Source organism: Homo sapiens, chromosome 20 (genome assembly GCF_000001405.40).
Source record: "Homo sapiens chromosome 20, GRCh38.p14 Primary Assembly".
Taxonomy (NCBI): Eukaryota; Metazoa; Chordata; class Mammalia; order Primates; family Hominidae; genus Homo; species Homo sapiens.
Window position 1 is genome coordinate 47,999,775 of NC_000020.11, and position 25,180 is coordinate 48,024,954.

Sequence of the window (25,180 nt, forward strand, 5' to 3'; positions counted from 1 at the left end):
GGGGTGGGTGGGTCCTAGAATCAATCTCCCAGGGATACTGAGGGACATCTATAATTGTCTTTTTATGAGGAACTCATCAATATGGTGCCCTAAGGCCAATTCTACCGACACTATACATGGTAATAGTCACAGGATTCACAGTACCTGTAACTGTGAACAAATATAGATCCACCGAATGGCTAAACTTGAAAGACCACAGATTCAGTAGAAGAATCTCAGTGGGAGCATCTAAGGTTAGGTTCGATCACTTCTTAAGTATAAACACAGTACACTTTTCCATGGACACACACATGTGACAACTCTCAGGGGCAGATACAGATCATTTCCAACAGCCAGAAGGCTTCCTCACACCCCTTGTGATTCAACACATACCGATATGGTTTGGGCCTGTGTCCCCACCAAATCTCATGTAGAATTGTAATCCCCAGTGTTGGAGGTGGGGCCTGGTGGGAGATGAGTGAGAGATGCGTGGAGTTTTTATGAATGGTTTAGCCCCATCCCCCCCGGTCCTGAGTGAGTTCTCATAAGATTTGGTTGTTTAAAAGTGTGTGGCAGCTCCCCTCACTCTCTCTTGCTGCTCCGGCCGTTTGACATGCCAGCTGTCCCTTTGCCTTCTGCCATATTTGTGAGAGTCTTGAGGCCTCCCCAAAAGCAGAAGCTATTATGCTTCCAGGATAGCCTGTAGAACCATGAGCCAATTAAACCTCTTTTCTTCATAAATTACCCAGCTTCAGGTCTTTCCTTCTTTCTTTTCTTTCTTTCCTTCCTTCCTTCCTTCCTTCCTTCCTTCCTTCCTTCCTTCCTTCCTTCCCTTCCTCCCTCCCTCTTTCTATTTTCTTTTCTTTCTTTCTTTCTTTCTTTCTTTCTTTCTTTCTTTCTTTCTTTCTTTCTTCCTTCCTTCCTTCCTTCCTTTCTTTCTTTCTCTCTCTTTCTCTCTTTCTCCCTCTCTCTCTCTTTCTCTCTCTCTCTCTCTCTTTCTGTCTCTGTCTCCCTTTCTCTGTCTCTCTCTCTTTCTCTCTCTCTCTCTCTCTCTCTCTCTCTCTCTCTCTTTCTCTCTTTCTTTCTTGACGGAGTTTCGCTCTTGTTGCCCAGGCTGGAGTGTGACGGCACAATCTCTGGCTCACCGCAACCTCTGCCTCCTGGGTTCAAGCGATTCTCCTGCCTCAGCCTCCTGAGTAGCTGGGATTACAGGCATGTGCTACCACACCTGGCTAATTTTGTATTTTTAATAGAGACAGAATTTCTCCATATTGGTCAGAGTGGCCTCGAACTCCCGACCTCAGGTGATCTGCCTACCTCAGCCTCCCAAAGTGATGGGATTACAGGTGTGAGCCCCGCGCCTCACCCAGCCTCAGGTATTTCTTTATAGCCATGTGAGAATGGACTAATACACACACCCACAATAAACCACTACTCTGATTTCTACTTCCATAGGTTAGTCTTGAGATTAGCCCTGCTTGTCCTTGGACTTCTTATAAAAAAGATCATAGCATATTTAGTCCTCTGTGTCTGGCTTTCCTGGCTCCTTGCTGGATCAGTAAATGTCTCCATGCTGTTTATTGTAGCAGTGGTCCATTTTTTTTCATTGTTACATAGCTTTCCACTGCATGCATAGACCTCAATTTACTTTTCCATTCTATTCCTAATGGATATTTAATATTATTTATTTATTTATTTTTTGAGGTGAAGTCTTGCTCTGTCGCCCAGGCTGGAGTGCAGTGGTGCGATCTCAGCTCACTGCAAGCTCCGCCTCCCAGGCTCACGCCATCCTCCTGCCTCAGCCTCCTGAGTAGCTGGGGCTACCGGCGTCCGCCACAATGCCTGGCTAATTTTTTTGTATTTTTAGTAGAGACGGGGTTTCACCGTGTTAGCCAGGATGGTCTCGATCTCCTGACCTCATGATCCGCCTGCCTCGGCCCCACAAAGTGCTGAGATTACAGGCGTGAGCCACCACGGCCAGCCTAATATATTTTTCTATTAGGCATACAATTGCCATGGACATGCATACACGTCTTCTGGTGAATGTACATACTCATTACTCTCGGGTAAGTTCCCAGGGTGGAAGGACTGGGTAATAGGGGAGGTGGATATTTATTTAACTTTAGTAGATGTTTCCAGACATTTTTCACTGTGGCTGTAGTGACTTGCATTCCCATCAACAGCATGGGAGTTAACAGTTGTCCTACGCCGTTGCTAACACTTGGTATTGTCTGTCTTTTGACATTGTAGCTATTTGGTGGATGTGTGGACGTATCTCATTATGGCTTTAATTTGCATTTTTCTTAGGAGTCATGACATGAAAAATATTTTTACATGTTTATTGGATGTTCAGATCTCCTCCTTTGTTAAGGTTTGTTGAAATCCTTTGTTCCTTATCTAATTGGGTTGCCTTTTTCTTACTGATTTTTAGGAATTCTTTGTATCTTCTAGATACAAGTCACTGTCAAGTATACGGTATTACAAATGTCTTCTTCCCATCTGAGATTTGCCTTTTTACTCCCTTCCACTTTCTTAATGATGCTTTTGATGAATAGAACTTCTGAATTTTAGTGAGTTTGAATTATCATTCTTTTCTTTCATGGTTCGATTAAGAAATTGCCTATCTCTGCATGCAGTTTGATGGTTTCTGTGAATCAAGTGGTTAAAGTGTTGCTGAAACACCAGGGGTTCAGTCTAGGTCCTGCTGCTTGCTACACAGAAAGCCGATCATTGATACAACAAGTATTGTCAGGGAAGAAAGCTTTAATCAGATGCTGCAGGAGTATTGTCAGGGAAGAAGACTTTAATCAGCTGCTTCAGCCAAGGAGATGAGAGATCAGCCTCAAATCCGTCTCCTTGACTAACGAAAATTAGGAGTTTACATAGCAGGTACAAAATGTAACCATGTATGGGAAGACAGGAAATAGGGAGGGGTAAGGAAGAGGAGTTGCTCAATAGGGAGCAAGTGATGGCTTAGGCAGACATGGGTGAGGGGTCTGGTGTTTCATTGTCTAAATGTAGTCATCTGGTGAGTTTCAGTTCCTTGTTACTATCTGGGAGGCCTGATGGTTGGTTTCCTGAGAAAGAACTCAGATAAGACAAATGTAACTTTCTCAAGCTTTGAGACCAAACAGGGAGGATCAGGTTTTATGTTCATTCAGAAAAACCCTAAGCATCAGCTCTATGGGACATTTGGGCTAGTTTCAAAAGATAGGCAGGTGGTGCAAACCAGGCCACTGAGAACCTGTTTCCAAAGCTAAACAGCTTGAACAGGAAGCACCAGGATTCAAACCTGGGCTTTCTGGTTCCAAAGAGCACACTCTTACCTGTTGCATTGTGCTGCTTCTTTACTAATCAGGACTCCTTTGGTTGTGAATGGTTGAAATATAGCTCTTAGGTTAAAAAGATAAATTATTGGTTCATGTACAAGATCCAGGATGTCTCGCTTCAGGCATGGATGGATCCAGGTGCTCACATGACATTATTAGCATTGGGTCCCTCCCTTCTTATGCCTCTACTTTCCTCTGTGTTGGCTTCATCAGTAGAAAGCCTCTTTCCTTTTGCAAGCACCAGCTATGGCAATAGCTTCTATTTTTCAAAGATGGCTACAACAATATCCCCTGTTTCAGGCACTCATTTACAACGTGGCCTTGATATTCCTCCTACTGAGAAGTCAGTCTATGTCCTCTCTCTTTCATGCTGGACAGGCTTGTGACTCATTGGAAACCAGTATATAGAGGTGAGAATGATGCTGCACAACTTGTGAGACTAGGTCAGAAAAAGCAGTGCAGCTTTTGCTTTGTGTTTGGGGACACTTGCCTTTGGAAGCCTGAGCTGACATGTAAGTCCTACTGTCCTGAGGCCGCCATGCTAGGAGGAAGCCCAGACTGTATGAAGAGGCCACATGGAGGTGCTGAGGTTGACAGCCTCAACTGAGGGCCCAGCTGATTGCCAGCAGCAACTACCAGATTGAGTGAAGAGGCTTCTAGATGGTTCCCTGTGTTTGATTTTTCCTAGCTGAGGCATTGGACATTGTGGTGTAGCGACAAACCACTCTGCTTTGCTCTGTCTGAATTCTGGACCCACGGGACCCATGGAATAATGAAATAGTTATTTTGAGCTCTTTGATTTTGGAACAATTTGTTATGCAGTAAATGGAACACCAGGTGTATCTTCTTTCAGCCCTTTCAGCCCTACCAGAAAGAGGGTCTTCTTGCCAACTGTTCTCAGGCAGGGTAATCCTTGGGCCAGGCTGGGTCACATTCCATCCTAAGTCAATTGCTGTGGCTAGGAAGATGTGGTACACGGATGGGCCAGACCTGGGTCACAGGCCCACCGGGAGTGGACCAGCCCTGGGAACTGCCACATGGATTTGGGGAAAGGAAGAGAGGCTTTCTCAAGGAAAAACGGAATTATATGGAAAAAAATTGTAGATGGAAGATGGGAAGATGGGCAGGGAGAACCAACAGCTGCTCCTTCAGTAGTTTACTATGAGGTCACTGTCCTTTGCTTGTGGAAATGAGAAGTGCCCAGCAGTGAGTGACTTGTCTGTGTGTTTGGGCAGCTCAGCTGTTATGGGAGCAGGTAGGAGGGGCAAACCCAGGACAGGCTTCCAGGAGAGCATGTGGCTGTGCTGACTTCATGATGATGAGGACTCAGACAGGCAAAAAGAGCAGGAAAAGGAGTTCCAGGCAGGGGAATGGCATGTGCAAAGGCCTGGAGGCAAAGATGGTGCAGCAAGTTGGAGAACCTGAGTGAAGTTCAGTGGGGTTTAAGCCGAGTGTTAGGGTGAGGATGACAAGGGAAGAAGGCAGGGGTTGGGGCTGTAGGGGCAGACAGTGGCAGGGCCTTCTCAGCCACATGTGGCACTGGGGGTGTCTTTAAATGCAGTGGGAGACCTCAGTGAGGTTAGCAGGGATGTGACGTGACCATAGAAGGTCCCTCTGTCCATGGTATGGGGGATGAGGAGGAGGGGCTGCCCAGGGCCAGGGTGGTCTGTGAGGTGGGTGAGGCCATCATGTAGGTGAGAAAGGATGGTCACCTGAGCTAGCAGGGTGATGGCAGAGGAGGAAGGAATAGAACAGAGCCAAGAGCCATTTAGCAATCAACTCAGTAGGACTTGGGTTTGAGACAAGAGGGAGAGGGAGGAGATAGGGGATAAGAGAGCTGCCCAGGGTTCTGGATGGGCCTGGAGGGACGGGGTCACCAGTCACTGAGGCGGTGACCCCCAAAGAGCCTACATTTGGGGGTGAATTTATCGGGCTGAGTTGAAGGTGCCATGGGACACCCATGTGGACCTGCAGGTCTGAAGCCAGGAGAGTGGTTGGCTGGTGTGGCTAAGGAGTCCCCTGTGTGTCTGTGACCCCATGTGTCTGTGGTCTAAGGGGGGCTGAGACCCCCAGGAGGGGAAGCAGAGTGAGCGAGAGGCAGACTCAATGGAGGGACCCCCTGGATTTAGGAGCAGGAGAAGAAGAGGACAAGGGTGGCAGAGAAAGCCTGGCTGAGCATGGGAACAAGAAGGGGGCCTTCATCAATTCCTGCTACTATGACAATATGCCTGAGACTGGGTAGCTTATAAATAATAGAACTTTATTCCTCACAGTTCTGGAGGCTGGGAAGTCCAAGACAAAGGCGCTGACAGGTTCAGTGTTTGGTGAGGGCTGCTGTCTGTGTCCAAATGGGTAGAAGGGTGCCAGTCACATCCAGGAGCTTGGCCTCATGCTGGAATCACCTCCTGAAGGCCCCGGCTCTTAACACTATCACGTTGGCAATTGGGTTTTAACATGAGAATTTCAGGAGACACCTTCAGACAGTAGCAGAGGGGTAGACCAGGAGGAACGACGGCCCAGGACCACCCTCTGTGGACACCCAGGAGGGACTGGGCGGGTCCTTAGGGGGAGCACAGGGAGCTCCATAGGAGAGGCTTTGGGGAGCAGGGCTGGGAAGCCCAGTGGGAGTGCCGGGGTGAGTGGTGGTGAGGCAGGGGTGTAGACACTGACCGCAGGACATAGAATTTCCTTAAAGGGAGGAATGTGGGCTGGAGCGGGGGTTGAGGAGAATATGTATGCGTGGAAGAAATCTATGCAGTGTCCACAGTCTACAGAGAGGCCTGGGCTGCAGAAGGCAAGCCAGGCAGGTCGTCCCAGGCACAGGGAAATCCCCAGAGCTTGGGTTTACTGAGCCCGTCCTGTGCAGGTCTGGATCTGAACACTGTGTATGCAGTATCTCACTGAAGCCCCTCCCACCCGATGAGGCAGGGCCATCATGCCACCCATTTTAAAGGGTAGGAGACTGAGACCAGAGAGGGCAAATAACCTCCCCACAGTCACACAGCTTGGAAGGGGCCGAGTCAGGGTTCCAAGGAGAGCCTGTACCCCTCCCTGCTGCTCTTAGCCTGGCTCAGCTGCAGAAGCCGAGCCCCAGGGAAGGTTGTGGTTTGGGGCACCCCGTGGCATTGTGTGCACAGGGCCAATGAGGCGCAGGACTGGGGATGGGGGGTGGCCATGTGTGGCATCGTTGGTTTCTGTGGCAGGAACCAGAGTTGTGGCACCCAGGGCTGCAGACTCCGGTTCCTCTCTGCTGAGCCCCCTTTGGGTCAGGGACTCAGTTCCTGATTGTTTCCTGGGCTCTGGTTTGTGCAGTGGCTTGATCTCAGCTCGGTGCAAACTCTGCCTCTCAGGTTCAAGTGATTCCGTGCCTCAGCCTCCCAAGTAGCTGGGATTACACTCGTGCACCACCAGCCCTGGCTAATTTTGTATTTTTAGTAGAGACAGGGTTTCGCCATGTTGGCCAGGCTGTTGTCAAACTCCTGACCTCAAGTGATTCGCCCTCCTCGGCCTCCCAAAGTGCTGAGATTATAGGCATGAGTCACGTGCCTGGCCTTGGTCTAGCAGTTTTTTTCAGACCCAGCCCCAATGGGAAACAGAGGCATGCGCTGCAGGGGTTTGTGGCAGAATTAAGGGAACTGCTAAATGATGAAAGCACCTGGGGACCAGCAAGAGATGGAGCTGCCCAGAGCCCAGGGCTGGAGGGGTGGGTGGAGGAGAGTGCATGAGTAGCCCAGGGAGAGCCCTGCAGGGAAGGTCACACCACAGGGAGAGTAGGGAAGAGGCACTCTGACCTTTCCCCTCCTGCCTTTGACCTCCAGGGAAGAGTCCCCTTGGCTGAACATAACTGGACGCCAGAGGGCAGGGAGCCCCGGAGATGCGATTCTCAGGGGCCAGTTCTGGAACAGGGAGCCCCAGGCAGAGAAGGGATCCAAGTACTGGGGAAGGAGTTGGGGAACAACAAGCTGAGGCATCTGTACCTTCTCCCGACACTTTTGCCCCAGGCTGCAGGGGGAAAGTGGAGGAGAACAGAGGAGAAGGTCCCTTCCAGGCCCAGTCCAGGCTTTGGGAGCACAGGGTGCCAGCCAGGGGAGGAGAGGGAGCTTTGGAGATCTGGAAAAGCCGGCAGAGAGGAAGAGCTTTAAGGAGAGCTGAAGGTTTGTGACCATTGAAGTGGAGGGAGGGAAGCAATGACTGAGGGGCAATGAGTGGGCTCCGTGCTCAGCATGAACTCAGTATGGGTTATTCTATGTTTTCTCATTTTAATGCATTATTTTTTTTCGAAGTTCCATACTCTTATTACAAAGTTTAGGTAATATGAGAGAAGCAGGTGGCAAGCACTTGTCTCTCCAGATCTGCTTCCTAATAGAGAGGCTGGCCGGTTCAGGGCTTGACATTTCTGCTCAGATTAGTTTTTGAGATATGATCTAACTGCCTGTTACTTTTTTGGTGGGAGTTGGAAAGTATTTCAAATACTAATGTAAGAAGGCCACTTCCTTTTTTCACGTTGGGATTATAAATCATTTGAAACTGTTTGGGGACAATGCATTTTACAGACACTCTATCTGGCCAGGTACAAATTGAACATTTAAGCTCAAGTTCAAATGTCTCTCATCCTTGACTTTGATGTAAAAACATGTCATATTTCACTCGCGGATTGCATGTGAATAAGCAATATCAGTTCTCAGAGAATGGAACCACAGCGAAAGGGAAGATAGTGGTTGTGTTCATTTTCAAGGGTTGCCGTAACAAATTACCAAAGACTGGGTGGTTTAAACACAAGAAATGTATTTCCTCGGCATTCTGGAGGGTAGAAGGGTTGATTTCTTCCGAAGCCTTTCTCCTTGGCTTGGAGATGGTCATCTGCTCCCTACATCCTCTGCACGTGTCTGTGTCCTCTCTTCTTTGAGATGCTGGTTGTATTAGTCTGTTCTCACATTGCTGTAAAGAAATACCCAAGACTGGGTAATTTATAAAGAAAAGAGGTTTAATTGGCTCACGGTTCTGCAGGCTGTACAGGAAGCATGATGCTGGCATCTGCTGGGCTTCTGGGGAGGCCTCAGGAAGCTTCCAGTCATGGTGGGAGGCAGAGGGAGAACAGGCACCTCACGTGGGAGCAGGAGCAAGAGAGAAGAGGCAGGCGCTACACACTTTTAAATGACAAGATCTCACAAGAACTCGCTCACTATCACAACAACAGCACCTCAGGGATGGCGCTAAACCATTCATGAGAAACACCTCCATAATCCAATCACCTCCCACCAAGTCCCACCTCCAACACTGGGGACTACAATTCAACATGAAATTTGGGCAAGATCCAAACCATATTACTAGTCCTGTTGGATTTGGGGCTGGCACAAATGACCTCACTTAACCTTAATTACCTCTTTGAAGACCCTGTCTCCAAATACATCATTCTGAGGTCCTGGGGGTTAGGACTTCACATATGAATTTGGAGGGGAATCCAATCTGGTCCATAACAGCTACTTTGTTTTTAATGAAAGCAAGGCTTTTCCTTCTTTTTCAATGATCCCAGTTCACACCCAAATCTGTCATCTCCTGATTCTCAGAGGTATTAATCAAGCTGTCAGTAAGAATTTACCAAGGACTTGTTCTCAGATTCAAAGGATAGTGAATGGCACTAGGACAGTTAAAAATCAGATGCTAAATTCATAGCACATATGGTCTAGCTGGGAAGATAAAAATACTTAGCTTTTGTATTAAGTATTTAATTTAAAAAAACCCTCCCTTTTTATTGCCAGGAAAAACCTACAAGAGAAAAACCATGCTTGGAGAACATCAGAGATTCTTTTGGCTAGCAGAGTTTGTAGTTTTCAGTCTCTTAAGGGATATTTCATGTTGCCCATATACAAGCCTCAGACGCCCCATTTTGCTCACATGCAATAGAAAATTAGGCCATTTCTGTTCCAGTGACTCAGCACCAAAGAAGTCATCCATCTCAGATTTAAAATTAACTGCGAAATGCAAAAGAGACAACTCAGTATAGGGGGAGTGAAAGAAGTAAGATATTTTGCAAGCTTAAAAACATTTTGGAATGAAAATCATCCTTGTAAAGCTGGAAACTAGAAGAAAATTCTGCCAATTTCTTTTTGTAAAAAAAATGTATCTTGAAACTTTTAAGGAGTATTTTATCAAAGGATCCATTCCCAGCAATGTTATTTTGAGGATCTATTTGATACCAGCTGACATGCTTCTATTTAGCATTTCACTGACTTCAAAAATCACAGCACCCAAATTACAGGCTCTAACTGAAGAAGGGAGTAGGTCTGTGAGCTGAGTTTGATTAATGTATTCACTTCTATCCCTGTCTCTTTCTTGCCTTTGATAATGAGTGAAACTGCTGCATGAGTTACTCATTTATTTTGGAAGAAAAGAAAAGGAAAATGGGGTTTGGTGGCTCCCAGGTGAGCTGACTCTTCATGTACGTCTTCCTTGTGGTCATCCGCATTGAAGCAGGTCACTGTACACTGGCCAGGCTTGTGCAGATGACTTATGAACCTGGCTGGTCTGCTTTAGATGAAAGCATGATGGTGCAGGAGGTCCTGTGGTCCTTCTCACAAATGGCGAGGAAAATTCTTCACCAGATGAGTGTAGCCTGAGATGCTTTTGTGAAGGTTGACATCTGCTTGTGATGTGATGTGATGTGATGTGATGTGATGTGATGTGATGTGTTCCTTAGTCAGTTTCCACTGAGGGCAGATAAAGAAAGGCTGTATTAGTCTGCTCTTGCATTGCTATAAAAAGCAAATTACCTGAGACTGGGTAATTTATAAAGAAAAGAGGTTCAATGTGCTCACTGTTCTGTAGGCTGTACAGGAAGCATGATGCTGGTATCTGCTCGGCTGCTGGGGAGGCCTCAGGAAACTTTCAATCATGGTGGAAGGCAAAGGGGAAGCAGGCACGTCTTACATGTCCAGAGAAGGAGGAAGGTGGGGAGGAGGTGCTACACACTTTTAAACAATCAGATCTCACAAGAGCTCTATCACAAAAACACCAAAAGGGGAAGTCTGCCCCCAGGTTCCAATCACCTCCTACCAGGCCCCACCTCCAACAATGGGGATTACAATTTGACTTGAAATTTGGGTGGGGACATAAACCCAAACCATATCAAAGTCTCATTTTTTCAAGAGAGAGATTCGTTTATATGGTGTCTTCAAACAGGGACTTCTTTTCCTAAGTTACTCCACAGTTGACCCAACTGAGGAATCCCTAATGCTTCCTCTTGAGCTGAAGCAATGCATTCTCCTAGAGATCTGCATGGTAACCACCTCTTCAATCCCATCCAAGGAAACCCTGACCCAGTGACGTGACCTGCACTGTTGTCTGGAAGGACTCATCTGGGTTCAGGTGTTTCTGTGGTTAAGGTTCTCAAATTGGGATCTTTCGTGATTACCTGTGAATACTTCAATGAGGTTAAAAGTGTAACCAGATGCACCAGGAATGTGAAAGGAATATTTTGTATTTTTCAATGAACTATCCACAGCTAATACTTTTTATCTTCAATCAGTGTTTCCCACGTGAGAAGCCAGCACCACCACCTTCATCAATATCACCATGACTTTCATCGTCATCACCATTACAACCACCATCATTAATATCACCATCACCTTCACGTAACTACCTCCACAACCACCATTCTCAATATCACCATCACCTTCATTACCACCACTACAACCACCATCAATATCACCATCACCTTCATCATCACCACCACCACAACCACCATCAATATCACCATCACCTTCATCACCACCACCATCATCATCAATATCACTATCACTTTCATCATCACCACCAGCACCACAACCACCATCAATATCACCATTACCTTCATCATCACCATCACCTTCATCACCACAACCACCATCTCACAATCACTTTCATCATCACCACCACCATAACCATCGTCAATATCACCATCACCTTCATCATCACCACAACCACCATCAACCATATCACCATCACTTTCATCATCACCACCACCACAACCACCATCAATACCACCTTCATCATCACCACCACCACAAATCACCATCATATCACCCTCACTTTCATCATTACCACAATCACCATCAATATCACCATCCCCTTCACCATCACTACCAACACAGCCACCATCATCAATATCACCCTCAACTTTATTATCACCTCCACCATCAGCAGCAGCATCAACTTCATCATCACCATCACCACCTCTGCCATCAGCAGCATCATTATTATCTTCATCATCATGGTTTCAGCCACAATCGGAATCAACAGCCGTCACCCAGAGTTGAAGGAGGTAGGAAAATGCTTTTGTAAAGCACACCTCAAATGAAAAAAAAAAAAAGCTTATTGCCTATAAATCGACCATGGATTTCTTGGAAATAATTTCTAATTCATTCAAGATTTTAAGCATGCTAACTGCTTTTTATTATGAAAATGCTGCAGGCTACTTTTAGGGAAGGGCAAGAACACAGGGTCTAAAAATGGTCCTAGTTAATGGTGAATTTTGAAATAAATCGATGCTATGCTTGATATATTCTGAATTTTATATGTTCAAAGTGGATGGGAGAAAAATGAATCACCTGTAGAGAAAATATATGTGAATTCTCAGAGGACTTTTAAAAAGTGAGACCACTTAGATTTGATACAATTTGAGTTGATCCAAATCCTGCCATGTCACAGGGTTTATGAAGCCAAATCAAAAGAGAGGGGAAACATTCACCTGTGTTAATATTCATGCATTTATTATTGTTCTTTCTCTTCATAAAGTAGAGAATTTAAAGGTTATTATAAAGCTCTCCCATGAATTATTCTGTCCAGTAAAAGTAAGCAGCTGCTAAGGGGGAGAGAAATAAAACTGGAAAACCCAAGTAGTCCTATGAAAGAAAGAGTGTGTGACTATGTCAGATTTTGGGGTGTTTTCCTTTGCTCCAATGACCATTAGAAATTCCAATCGAAGTGAACTCAACTTAGAACTCATTTATGCCTAAACCAAACCACATCTTGCAAACCTGGAAGGTCCCCAAATTGTTTCAGGTTGAAGCTATGGGGAGTGTCTTTGCTTGGGTTCTCCCACAAGCAGAGCCTGAGTCAAGGGCTTGGGTTCAGATAGATTATGGAAGCAATCCCAGGAACTGGAATGGAAGGACTGGGAATAGTGAAATAGAGAAAGAGAAGAAGCTAATACAAGGATGCATTTTGAGTTAGTTACTGTGTGGCAGTTTTAAAATATGGCTGCAGATGTTTGATGCTCCTCCAATCTAGAGGTGGGCTCTATGCCCCCTCTCCTTTCCTGTGACTCTTCCGGCTAGCAAAAGTTATGCTATGTGATTTTCCAAGGCTTGGTCATAAAAGATCATTTAGCTTCCATCTTATTTGCTAAAACACTTGCTCTTGGAATCCTGAGCTACCATGCCTGAAGTCTGCCATGCTGGGAGGAAGCCCAAGCCACGTGAGGAGGCTACATTTAGGCCCTCTGCTGGGGAGTCCTAGCCAAGGCTAATCTGTGAGCCATTGCAGGCAGACATTACACAAGTGATTGAAGAATTCTGTCATGATTCAAGCCTCTAGTGATTTGAGTTGCTGGCAGTATTTCAACTCTTTCCAGCAGAGGCCTCACACACATTAGGGCTATGTCTTATCTGATTTTCTGACTCACAGAGTCAACGAGCAGAATAAACTGGTTCTTGTTTTATGTCACAAAGTTTTGAGGTGGTTGGCTATGCACCAATAGACAACTGGGTACACAGGTGGACAACTAGGCTCAATCCACTGGAGACCCTCTCAGAAACCATGTAGAATGTGTCCCTCATTGTCTGCTGAGACATCAAGAGGGGAATATTTGAATATTTGCCACTGACTCCAGACTCCCTCCCTTTCCAACCTGGCACTGTTTTTATTTATTTTATACTTTGCATGGACTTTTTCTCCAGATATTTGCATGACTGTATCATTTACTCCCTAAGATCCATGTGCAAAGTTTGCCTCCTCAAGGAGCCCTTTTCTCCCTATTCCTGTTAAATTGCATCCTCTCAGCCTTCTTCTCCTTCCTGCTATATTGATCTCCATGGCACTCATCACCCTCTAATAAACTATAACGTTTCCTTATTATTTGGGTTACTTCTTTCTTCTCTTTATTAGAATATAAACTCTGTGAGAGCAGTAATGTTTGTCTGTTTGCTCAGTGATGTAGTCTTGGCCCCTAGAAAGTGCCTGGCATAGAGTAGGTACTCCATAGACACATATGGAATGAAACAAACATGAAGTGAGGTGGAGAATCCTGGGGGTGAGGGAGAGGAAAGCCTGGTGGACAGGTGTCAGGGGAAGTTTGCTGGAGGAGGTAACAGTTAAGTTTGGCCCAGAAGGATAAGAATAGGCTCATTGGCTGAAGGTGTGGCAGAAAGGGTATCCCAGATGGAGGGGACATCTGTGTACAGAACTTGCCACACACGAGAAACTTAAAGGAGACCAATGTGGAGTGGTAGGAATGGGGGTGGGGTAGTGACACAAGATGAGACTGGAGAGATGGCAGGAGTGACATTGTACAAAGAAAGATGTGGCTCTTTGTAAGAGCTATGTCATAGGAAGGAGGAAAGCATTTGCCAGTTTCCTAATAGAGCAAAACATCAAGCTTTCTTCTATGCCCAAGTGTACCCAAGACCCCTAAAAGGTTTGCCTGGAGAGGAGGCACAGTGACTCTACGTCATCCAAGATCCCCTAGAAATGCATACTCAACTTGATCACTTAAATATTCAAATAACATTTCCCAATTATCTTCTCTTTTGAGACAGAGTCTTGCTCTGTCGCCTAGGCTGGAGTGCAGTGGTGTGATCTCGGCTCATTGCAACTGCTGCTTCCTGGGTCCAAATGATTCTCCTGCTTCAGCCTCCCGAGTAGCTGGGATTACAGGCGCCCACCATCATGCCCAGCTAATTTTTGTATTTTTAGTAGAGATGGGGTTTCACCATGTTGGCCAGGCTAGTCTCGAACTCCTAACCTCAAGTGATCCACCCACCTCGACCTCCCAAAGTGCTGGGATTACAGGCGTGAGCCACCACGCCCAGCCAAATAAACAGAATTTCAAGCCACGTATTTTACAAGTTAAAAATCCCAACTGGCAAAGAAACTCTCAGTTCTTTTTATCCCCTAGCCGAACACCGTGACCTCTTTACAGATCCTAAATGTTTTACTGAAAAAATATAGTGACCTCTTCCAAATGCATGTGGTCAGGATCCTCTCAAAAGCCTCTACGAAGACGTGGATCCACAATGAAGAGGTCTGCTCGCCCCTCTGCCGCTCAGCCTGTTCCTCACCAGAGTCACCGTCTCTCCTCTCCAGGCAAAGGTTGGAGGGGCCTTGGGTATAGAAGAAAGCTTGAAAGGATGTTTATATGAGGTCTTAGAGGTGAAGTCCTCAAACAGTAGACTCCAGCATCCAGATCTTTCCTAGGTTTGGTCTCTGCATTAATCAGGACCCTAGATTACAAGTGACGTTTTGCTCTATTAGGAAACTGGTGAGTGCTTTCCCCCTTCCTATGACACAGCTCTTACAAAGAGTCACATCTTTCTTCGAAATCTGAGACTGGGGGCTTTTCTACAGTGGCATGAGTTAACTTGGGACTGAACTGTCAGAGTGTTCCAGCCCTTTTGGCCACAGAGACTGGCTCAATGAGATAGCCAAGGGGTCCAGTCAGAGCCAATGAGACTTAGCTCTCCCATGGAAACTGAGGGATATGAAACTCACATCTCTATGGGAGTTGCTGGATCTGCCAGAAGCCACGCCACGCCACAAAGAGAGGCTGCCCAAGAATGGAGCCCACAGAGGGGAAGGCAGACCTAAAGATGGGGAAGAAGGCTGCCTAGACCTAGAACCTGAAGTTAACCATACCTGAAAGTCTATATTTGGAGTTTTAAAAAGATATGATGAACTAGCAATTGTCCATTTTATTTGAGCCATTTGATTTGATTTCTGCCACCTGTAATCTAAAGTCCTGATGAATGCAGGGACCAAACCTAGAAAAGGTCTGAGATGTGCTGATGGGTGCCAGAGTCGGCTGTGCAAGGACTTCAGCTCTAAGGCCTCATAGAGAACATCCTTGTGATTTAAATGACATATCATCTTTTAATTGGGGCTGATTTAAGCTTTCATTTTAACATTGTTCCAACTTCTGCGGGCCTCAGTTTAGATCACGGTGTGGTGGTTGATCCCCTGATGCTGTGTAAGCCGAGGACTGGCTTCCTGTGAATAAGGAGGCTTCCCAGGCTGAACCACACCCGAAACTCATCAGCCTCTTTTTATCATTTCCTGAAAGAAAAAAAAAAAGGAAATGCAAAAGACACAATAGTTAATATTTGGCAGAAACAGATACATTAAATTAAAATTTAAAACTTTGATTTTTTGGAAACTTCCTATGAATACTGTTTGGTTTGGACTTTCCTTTTGTGTCTACACTTTTCCTTCTCATTACAAGTTCAAAATGTTAGTTCTGGTTCATTTTTTATTTCTTCTTAAATACTGGCTTTAATTCCCGGAGGGTCCCATTGTCTACTAAAGATGTTTAAACATGATATGTTTGAGGTTACAAAGACACTTTGAGTATTTTCTTAAAAATTCTTTTGGTTTTGGCAAGGTTTAGAATCCATAAACACACTCTGTTCTGCGTTCTTTTACTCACTATTTACCTATTTCTTTATAAAGTGGTGATTTTCCTTCTGTTTGAGTTACGTTCATGCTCCTCATTCGTCTCATAGTTTGCTGTCATAGGGACAAAAAATTTATTTCCAAGGAAAGAATAATTTATATGTGTTTCCCCAATGGCCCCTAAATAAGTAAATTCCATCAATGTATATATCTGGTATTGGTGTATGAAATCTTTTATTCAGAGACATACAAATGAATCTTGGCAATAGAACGTGTATAATACAATCTTGGCATTACAAAGTGTATATCATAAGGGAAAAGAAGATGTCAAGCATTCGTATCTTTCCCACCAGTGGTTTCCATAAGCCGAAGCCACAAGGATCAGGATCGTCATGAGAGAAAGATGAGGCAGGATTTTGGCACCAAATTTCCTGTGGTTGGAATGTTGCTTAAAGTGAGTAACAACTCGCTGCTTTGTGTAACTGTATATGTGGAGTAATAAAGGCAGCCTTCTGTTATCAGTAATAGAGATATTTGTTTAAATTCTTTTTAGCCTGGGAAAACATACAATGATCCCACATGAGCCTGAGACTCTTCCTGGAGGCCAACTTTCTAGATTTTGCCGGGAAGCATCTTGAGGACCTCTTGCCTTGTGGTTGCAACACAGGAGGCAGCATTGATTCTCTGCCTCTGTCTTTGGGTCCTGCAGGGCAGGCAGCTGCCAGGGGCTGGTGGGCGCAGCCCCAGCAGGGTGAGCGCATCATCTCCAGGCCTCCCCTAAGAGACAACCTGAGCTTCACTTTGCCAGGTTTCCACTACTCTGGTTCCATCCAGAACTGACCAGGAATTCGCCAAGGACAGCCAGCTCCTCCCACTTGGCAAATCCACTATTTACGTCCAGGGCAAGTCCTCCAAAGGCCAGGGTTAACCAGGAATCATCTATCTGGCCAGAAAATAAATCCACCAGGTTCTTCGGTCCACCTCTTTGGAGAAGGACCCATGGAAGGGGGTCCTGGGAGCACAACCTGCCCTGCGGGCTCACGTGTGACCCAGGAAAGTTCTCCACCTCCTGTGCCTTTTTTCCCCCCAACAGGAAGTGGGCTGAGAGAAGCTCTGCCTTCATAGTTCCTGGGAGGCATGAACTGGTTGCTGCATGCTGAGCATTTCAAACTGGCACACGGTAGGGCTACCCATGTCTGAGTTATTGTTACATTGGTGATTCTTATAGCCAAAGGGGAGTTTCTAGTGCTGACTTGAGAAAGTTACCAGTGCCCCTGATATGGTTTAGATATTTGTCCCCTCCAAATTGCATGTTGAAATGTGATCCCCATTATTGGAGGTGAGACCTGGTGGGAGGTGTCTGGGTCATGGGGGTAGATCTCTCATGAAAGGCTTGGTGCTCTCTCCCTGGTAATGAGTGAGTTCTTGGTCTGTTAGGTCACTCACGATCTGGTTGTTTAATAGAGCCTGGCACCTCCTCCCCTCCCTCTTGCTCTCTCTCTTGCCATGTGACATGCCTACTTTCCCCCATGATCGGAAGCTTCCTGAGGTCTCACCAGAAGCTGAACAGATGCTTGCATCATGTATCCTGTGCAACCTGCAGAAACGTGGGCCAGTTAAATCTCTCTTCTTTATCAATTACTCAGTGTCAGGTATTCCTTTATAGCAACATGACATGGACTAACACACCCCCAAAGGGGGAATGTAGACAAAGTCTTGGTTCTTAGAAGGCTATTTTTGTGGCTAACATCCAGCATCAAATAATGTCTCAAAAATTTAAATAAACAAAAAAATATTTAAAGTCATCCTGTCCAGAGAACATTTGAAGAAATCAATGAAAATTTGGGGTCTCATCTGGATGTTGAAAGCCCTCTTTCTCCTTTCTCATTTTTTTCTGTCATCCTCTCTCTCATTCATTCTTCCTTTCTCCAGCTTTCATTCTCTCTCTTTCTTCCTGTCTCTTTCTGTCTTCCTAATTGCACTTACAAGATGACTCAGTCTCTAATGAGGGCCCTGAAGTCTACTGAGAAGTAAGTATAACAGCCGGAGTAATGAAGAATGTGTCCTTGATTATATCGGGTATCTGGAATCTTGACATTTGTATGCAGTTAAATTTATTTCCAGTTTACAGCCTGGGCTTATGGAGGGGACTGGGGCTAAGAAAGCACAGCCTTGTTCAAATGCAAATGGCAGTCTTGAAGGACCCTGTAAGAATGCCATCCTCTAACCATTCTCCCTCCTGCGGTTGAGGGTGCCACTGAGGATGGTGAGGAGCAAGGTGCTGTTTGAAGGAATTGCTCTGTTCCTGCCAGTTTCCTTCATAAATCCTGGGCTCAGCTCTGCCCAGGCAGCACCAGATCTGGGTCTTATGCTGTTCCACGGTCTGCCTGGGGCTCAGTCCCTGGGTCGGGACTGGCATATGGGAACCAGGATGCTGGTCCCTCTGTACCCATGGCCTCCTGTCCAGAAGGCCCTTGGGAGGGCAGCCTGGAGGGTCAGTCATTGGCGCCTCTCAGGCTTTCAGATCTGGCAATTTTTCAACAAAGCCACCAAAGACCCAGTGTCCCCTTCCCAGTTGGTGGTGCCACCAAATGCCCGGTTCCTCAAGCCAGTGAGCAGACAGCATCCTCAGGCCCTCCCTCATCTTCTAGCTGCCATGGAATCTATTAAATTGAAAATGCACCCCTGTCTGTCCACTCCTCTCCACACCCTGCTGCTGTCCCCAAGTCTGCACCTCTGTCCTCACCTGGGTCACTACAACAGCCCCCATGGGCCCTCCTGCTCCCACTCCTCTTCCCATGCCTGAAATCTACTCTCTGCGTGTATCCAGAGTGAGCTCCTGAAAATGACCATGTGGCCCTGAGCGGATGTTTCAGCGGCTCACACTGCACTGGGAACAGCAGACTCCACCTCCTCATCACCTCCCACAAGGCCCAGCAGAGTCCTGCTGGTTCCCCAGATCACTTCCCACCACCTCCCCTCACTCCCCCATCCCAGCCGCACTGGCCTCTGGCTCCTCCTCCCACGCCCCAGTCCTCCTGCCCCAGGGCCTGTGCACCTGCTGCTCCTGCGTTCTGGAATGCTCTTCCCACAGCCGCCCTCTGACCTGCACCCTCTTGCCCTTTGTTCTTCACCCAGGTGTCACCCACTCAGAGAACACCCCTGACCTTCCCAAGGAAGCCCTCTGCACTCCGACGCCATATACCCGTGATCTGCACAGGACTGTCACCATCTGGAATTGATTGCCTCTCTTCCCGTTTTGCTATTGTCATTTGCACCCACAGGAATGTCACCCACATGAGTGTGGAATTTCATCTGTCTGTTCGCTGCTGGATCCCTGCTCTAAGTAAGAAAAGGACCTGTGGCAGAGTGAGCTCTGGATGAGGATTTGCTGAGGAATTGAATGAGGGAAAGACTCAGAGAATGGAATGCTGAGAATTCTACAATAAATATTTGAATCCTAGAGTGTTGGAGTCAGGAGAAGCCCTCGGAAGCCATCTAGACAAACCCATTCATTTGCAAAGGGGTAAACTGAGGCTGAGGAGAAAAAAGTGACTTGCTCCACATCCCAAGGCCTGAGGGTCTTCTCCCTGCTCTGATGGGAGAGGGACCCCCTTTGTGCTGTTGTGGGTAAAATGGTGATGTGTGGCTGGAGGGTGAAGGGGCTTCTTCTGCCCTTTGACTCATTGCCTAGGAAAATAGGGACAAAAGGCGCAAATTTTTTCAAAATGCAAACAACTAAAGACAACGTCATTCAGTAGAGACAAAGTGGGTGTTTGGGTTGACAGAGAAACAGAAAAGCTTCCCTGAGGTTGAGGAGGGAAGAGGGGGCTTGAAGGTGGGTGAGCCCCAAATGTGACCTTCAACTCCTGGGAAGCTGTAGGCAAGGACATAGCCAAGGCAAAACCATCAAGAATGTAATTCACCAACAGAAACATTCACTGACCACCCTCGGGGCCTGAAGGTCTTTCCAAAGGTGAGTCAGAGTGGGTGCTTGGATGCTGATCTGGGGAAAAGGGGAAGCTGCCCTGAGCTGAAGAGTGTCCCTGCCAAATTCATGTCCACTGGAACCTCAGCGTGTGACTTAGCTGAAAACAGGGCCCTGCCATCTCATACTGTCCTCCTCGGTCACACTGGCTGGAGGCAAAGCCCTCTCCCCTGTTTCCGGAAATCTCCAACCCTGTGCACCTTTTATCAGTCTTCACTTGGGTGGATTTTTCTGTTCTCTAGAGCTCAACTCCAACCGCCCCTTTGCCAAAGGGCTTCCTTGAGAGCTGTTCTGGCAGCCGAGGCTCCTCCCTCTCCTGCTGGAGGTCCAGGGTCTGTGGGTGTACAGAGGGGCAGCCTGGCGAGGGCAGGGACTCTGGATCTTTTGTCCTCTGGTGTGTCCCCAGGACCTAGACCCGGCCTGACAGTAGGTGCTGCACTACTCCTGGTGAATTTATTGTTAGAAATTGACAGGTCCTTGCTATTCATGTCTGTTTCCTCCAGCCTTGCTGCTGAGCACATGATGAACTTCAAACAATAGCGAAGTCAGGAGCCAGGCGCTGATGACCCCCAGGAGGAAGCTTGCAGAGGATGATGGGACAGAGGGGGATGGGCAGGAGTCTAAGCAGGCGCTCAGGGAGGCCGCTTTCGTCAAGGATGCTGAAAGAATGGGGGTCTCATGGATTCTGGGAGAGATGGTCCAAGGCAGAGGGACAGCCAGTGTGGGCCTGGAAAGATGTGTGCCGCATGTCTGAGGGGCAGGGGCCAATGTGGCTGGAGGTAGATGGGAGAGGAGGACACTAGGGGCTGAGGTCAGAGGGGACACAACTGGATCTGTGCGAGACCTTGCATGCCACTGAAAGGGCGCTGGCTGTCACTGTCGTGACCAGAGCCTCTGGGCAGGTCTTCACAGAGGTCAGGCTGACTGCACTTGCGGATGGATTGAATAGCAGTAGTTAGAGGACAGCATGCATGGCTCAGGGAGGATTCCCAGGATTTGGGATGCACAGCTGGAAGAAGGGAGGAGCTCCTGAATGAGGAGTGGGAGGTCCGGGAAGGGCAGCCTTGGTGGGGAGAGACGCCGGGACCTGCAGAGAAACTCCCTGAAAAGAACAGGGCTGAGCCATCTTTACCCCAGGCTCAGGACCTTCCTTCGCTGTAACTGCCAGGACAATCCACTGTGCTGTCACTCAGAGAGCGAAACCAGCCTGACTTTGCACCTGTGTCTCCAAGGGATAAAGGTCAATGTCACAGCAGACTCCACTCTGATGCTGTCTTCAAGCCAAAACCTTAATATTCAATGAGAAATCTGCATTGATGAAATTTTCATTAAACAAACTTTATCCCTCTCACTCCTCTTGTTATTCGTGGCTTTAAGTATCAGGCTAATTTAGGCTTGATGCCCCAGTGATCTGCAGATTGGAGCATTATTAAACATTTAGATGAGCAATGATGAGCCTGAGCCTCCCTCTCCTCTCTCAGCTGGAGCACAGGGGGCTCTGCTAATGATCACAATGGATTTGGGGCAGACACAGCAATTAGAGAATTATCTATAGTTTGAGCAAGATTTGACCCCTCTGTCTTCAAGGGAAATTAGCTGCTTGACTTACAGAGCACACAATTTAATTGATAAAATGTATGAAAAGAAAATTCCAGCCTTAGAGCCAGTTTTACAACTAACAAGCTGTGCAAATGCCTGAGCAGACCCCTCTTTCTTTCTGTACCTCCTCTTGCCCCATCCGTAGAGTAAGGAGGGCTAGACCAGGGCAGAGGCTTCCACATGTGGGCTGTGGGCTGAAATCAGCCTGGAGAGGGGCTCTGTCTGGCAAACTGTTTCATTTGTTTGTTTAGTGAACACTTTCCTAGCACTCATGATTTTGGGTTCTGTGTGTTTCATGTATGTTAACTTGTCTCATTCTCCCAATACCCCTTGAGATAGGCACTCTTATTATTCCCATTTTAGAGATGGGAAAACTCTGACCAAGAGGGGTTCAATGCCTTACTGTGGGTCATCTGCTGGGCAGGAGTAAGGCAGGGTTTGGACCCAGATGGTCTGGTTCCACAGCCTATGCTATAAACTTCTGTGCCAAACTGTTTTTATTATTATTATTATTATTATTATTATTGGAGGCATAATGTTTAAAATGAAATTGTCAGAAATTTAAGTGTGTGTGTTCTTGACATCAAACAGCTTATATGTTACAATAACGGAGCTCTCCCAATACTCAGTCCGCCTTCCTATCTTGCCACAGGCAGCTATTACCAACGTGCCCTTAGGGTGGAACATTCTCCTCCTGGTCTACCTCAGTCCCTCCAGTCCTAGAGTCTCCCCATCACCACGGCCAAATATAGCTCATCTTTGATAACTGAATTTACCCTCTTGATCATGCTTGGATTGCTTCATTGTTTGACTTACCTGCTTGGTGCTGGTAGGCATTTAGGAGTTGTTTGAAGGCATCAGAAAGCAACCCAGGCTGCCAGGACTTGAGGGTCCACGATCCCATGGAAAAGCGAACTGCAACGAGGTAAGCCCTACATTCTCCTTGAAGCTAGTAGCCTTGAATCTCCTTGAGCTAGTAGCCAATTTGTAAGTGCAGAGGGGTTGAGAAAGCAGAAAGCAGTGGCTCAGAGTTGTATGCCAAGTTCACAGATCTGGGGAGACGAAAGTTGACATTCAAGCTGACAAGAAAGCCAGGGTTTGAGGGACAGAGATGTCAGAGAAAATGGGACCCCTGACAGTGAGTCTGAATTTCTGTATCAGTGTTTGCTGATCCAGAATGAGATGCTCAGAAGCCGAGCTGAAAGTGGGCCCCCAAAAGCTAAGAAACCAAGCAGTTTTCATCAATATCATGATGCCGTAACAACAAAAATTAGGGTTTAAGACTCAACAAACAGGAGTTCTGGAAAATATGCAAGTCTTTCAGTTGAGGTCCTCCAAGGAATTGCCCTAGAAGAAAGATCAAACCAAAATAAAGTAGGCCTTATAAAGACAGAAAATCAGCCTTAAATTACCTTAATCCCAGATTGATTAAGGTAATCTGTGCCTACCATCGTGGTTGACAGAAGAATTTATTCTCTGGGAAAAGATATCAAGAGACACTCAGTTTTTCAAATAAAATAGCCAGAAGTCATAAAAAAAAGTCATCAGAAGTATTAATAACAGGAGCAGGTGCAAATGACCAAAAACCAAGCAATAAAAAAAATAGACAACAAGAAAAGACCCACAGATGATTAGTTACTGAAATGATCAGATACAAACTTTGAAATAGCAATTAGTGATATATTAATTTAAAAAATGAAAAGCTGGAAAATTTCATCAGAAAAATGGAATTTATAAAGCAGAATCAGATGAATAGTCTCAAACTGAAAAATAAAATAACTAAAATTGAAAATACAAGTGATAGGTACATCAACAATTTAGACAAAGCAGGAGATAGGTGTGTTGAAAATCTACAGGCTGAGGTATGGCATAAAAACTTTGAAAATATAAAAAAGAGCATCAGAAAATATAGAATATGATGAAAGATCTAAATACACGTAATTGAAATTCTAAGGCTGGGTGCGGGGACTCATGTCTATAATCTCAGCACTTTGGGAGGCCAAGGTAGGTGAATTGCTTGAGCCTAGGAGTTTGAGGCCAGCCCGGGCAACGTGGTGAAATCCCGTCTCTATGAAAAATACAAAAATTAGCATAGCTTGGTGGCAGGCATCTGTAATCCCAGCTACTCGGGAGGCTGAGGCAAAAGAATCACTTGAACCTGGGAGGCACGGGGTGCAGTGAGCTGAGATCGTGCCACTGCACTCCAACCTGGGCGACAGAGTGAGATCCTGTCTCAAAAAACAAAACAGGAAACAAATTCTACAGAAGCACTATATGAAAATATATTAGCTGAGGATTTTCCAAAGCTAGTGAAATACGTGAAATCAAAGATTCAAGCACTCCTAGCATAATAAAAACAAGGAAAGATACACTTCACCACATCATAGTAAAACTGCCATGAGTGAAAGACAAAGGGAACATCTTAAACACAACCAGAGAAAAACTATACATTTCCTTCAAAGAAGAAACCATAAGTAAACGGCGAATTTCTCAATAAGATCGATGGAAGTGGAAGATAACAGAATGACATAGATTCAACTGCTGAAAAAACATAATTGCCTGTCTACAATCTTATACCCATCAAAAATATGCTTTGAAAGCGAAGATGAAATAAAGGCATTTTTAGAGAAGTGAAAATCGACAGACTTTATTGCCAGCAGATCTGCACTACAATGAACACCAAAGAGAGTTCTTCGGGCAGAAGAAAAATGATTCTAAATGGAAGTGTAGACGCGCAAGAAGGAACGGAGAGCCACAGAAAGGGTTAATACATTGGTAAATTTAATGAGTACACAAAACAATAACAAGAATGTCCCGTGGGGCTTACCGTATCTGTAGAATTAGATGATGTGACAGGGATGATGCGTCTATCCAGGAAAAATGTTTAATGGTGTTACAGTGCTCTATGGTTCCTCATTGTCCAGGAAGTGGCAAGACTCTAATTTAGGGCAGACCAGAATGACTGGAGGAGATATGTTATAATCCCTAGTATTACAGTGAAAGAATAATGAAGAGATTAAGATGAACGAGTTAATTGGAATTGACAAAATGGAATAATAAAAATACTCGATAAGAAGAAATAAGGCAGAAGAAGAGAAAGGTGATGCAAATCGAAAACAAATAGTAAGAAACCAGACCTAAATTGTATGAATAACTGCATTAAATATAAACAGAAAGACCAGTCTTATTTTTAATCCGTAGAGATAAATGGGTCTGTTTCTCATCTACTCCAAAATATTTCCAAGGTAGATGTGTGTATGAATCCCCTGAGGAGCTTTTAAAAATGTTTAATTCTCTGAGCCCAATTTCAGTAGTTTAGGGGTGGGATTTGAGAATCTGCATTTTTAATAAGACTCAGACCATTCCTGGAGAAACAGTGACCTCGCCTGTGGAATGGGAGGGATAGGGATGAGGGGTAAACTGTTCACAGACCGCTTTAGTTGTTGTGGAGCTTGGAGCTTAGCAAGGGGCTGGTACAAAAACACAAATCAACGCAATGCAATAAATTGTGAAAGAATTGTCTTCTAGGAGGGACCTCTGTTCTCCTGCAAATGGCAGATGAGAGGAGTCACAGGTTTTCTCTCCTCTTAATTATTCAGATCTTGGCACCTGAGGAGCAGACCAGCTGGGGTTAGGAATCCAA

General features: G+C 45.9%; 2 long non-coding RNA genes across 7 annotated transcripts in view, besides 5 other annotated features; one reads left to right on the plus strand and one right to left on the minus strand.

Moving 5' to 3' along the window:
- LOC107985436 (uncharacterized) overlaps nucleotides 1–21,289 on the plus strand; it is a 34,006-nt gene extending 12,717 nt beyond the window's left edge. For 4 of the 6 annotated variants that reach the window (XR_007067623.1, XR_007067624.1, XR_007067622.1 and 1 more), the window contains 3 exons: nucleotides 10,834–11,607; nucleotides 19,089–19,926; nucleotides 20,442–21,289. This is a non-coding gene — a long non-coding RNA (uncharacterized LOC107985436). Of the gene's footprint in view, nucleotides 1–10,833; nucleotides 11,608–17,043; nucleotides 17,131–19,088 lie in introns of all 6 variants that reach the window. The other 2 variants (XR_001754651.2, XR_007067621.1) reach the window with 2 other exon arrangements.
- Nucleotides 2,985–3,154: an enhancer, noted in NCBI's record as "active region_18011". NCBI's record gives its function as "activates an Ori minimal core promoter by ATAC-STARR-seq in GM12878 lymphoblastoid cells {active_cell/tissue: GM12878}" and the evidence as "EXISTENCE:reporter gene assay evidence [ECO:0000049][PMID:35858748]".
- Nucleotides 3,165–3,214: an enhancer, noted in NCBI's record as "active region_18012". NCBI's record gives its function as "activates an Ori minimal core promoter by ATAC-STARR-seq in GM12878 lymphoblastoid cells {active_cell/tissue: GM12878}" and the evidence as "EXISTENCE:reporter gene assay evidence [ECO:0000049][PMID:35858748]".
- Nucleotides 6,216–6,716: an enhancer, noted in NCBI's record as "H3K4me1 hESC enhancer chr20:46634734-46635234 (GRCh37/hg19 assembly coordinates)". NCBI's record gives its function as "activates a minimal SCP1, AML or CMV promoter by ChIP-STARR-seq in naive H9 embryonic stem cells {active_cell/tissue: H9 hESC(naive)}" and the evidence as "EXISTENCE:reporter gene assay evidence [ECO:0000049][PMID:30033119]".
- LOC107985437 (uncharacterized) lies at nucleotides 15,406–24,434 on the minus strand. Its single transcript, XR_001754652.3, has 3 exons — nucleotides 24,365–24,434; nucleotides 22,354–22,589; nucleotides 15,406–15,614 (listed from the first exon to the last, which is right to left on the minus strand). It is a non-coding gene; the product is annotated as an uncharacterized LOC107985437 (long non-coding RNA).
- Nucleotides 20,048–20,548: an enhancer, noted in NCBI's record as "H3K4me1 hESC enhancer chr20:46648566-46649066 (GRCh37/hg19 assembly coordinates)". NCBI's record gives its function as "activates a minimal SCP1, AML or CMV promoter by ChIP-STARR-seq in primed H9 embryonic stem cells {active_cell/tissue: H9 hESC(primed)}" and the evidence as "EXISTENCE:reporter gene assay evidence [ECO:0000049][PMID:30033119]".
- Nucleotides 20,549–21,049: an enhancer, noted in NCBI's record as "H3K4me1 hESC enhancer chr20:46649067-46649567 (GRCh37/hg19 assembly coordinates)". NCBI's record gives its function as "activates a minimal SCP1, AML or CMV promoter by ChIP-STARR-seq in primed H9 embryonic stem cells {active_cell/tissue: H9 hESC(primed)}" and the evidence as "EXISTENCE:reporter gene assay evidence [ECO:0000049][PMID:30033119]".
- Nucleotides 24,435–25,180: the final 746 nt, after the last annotated feature.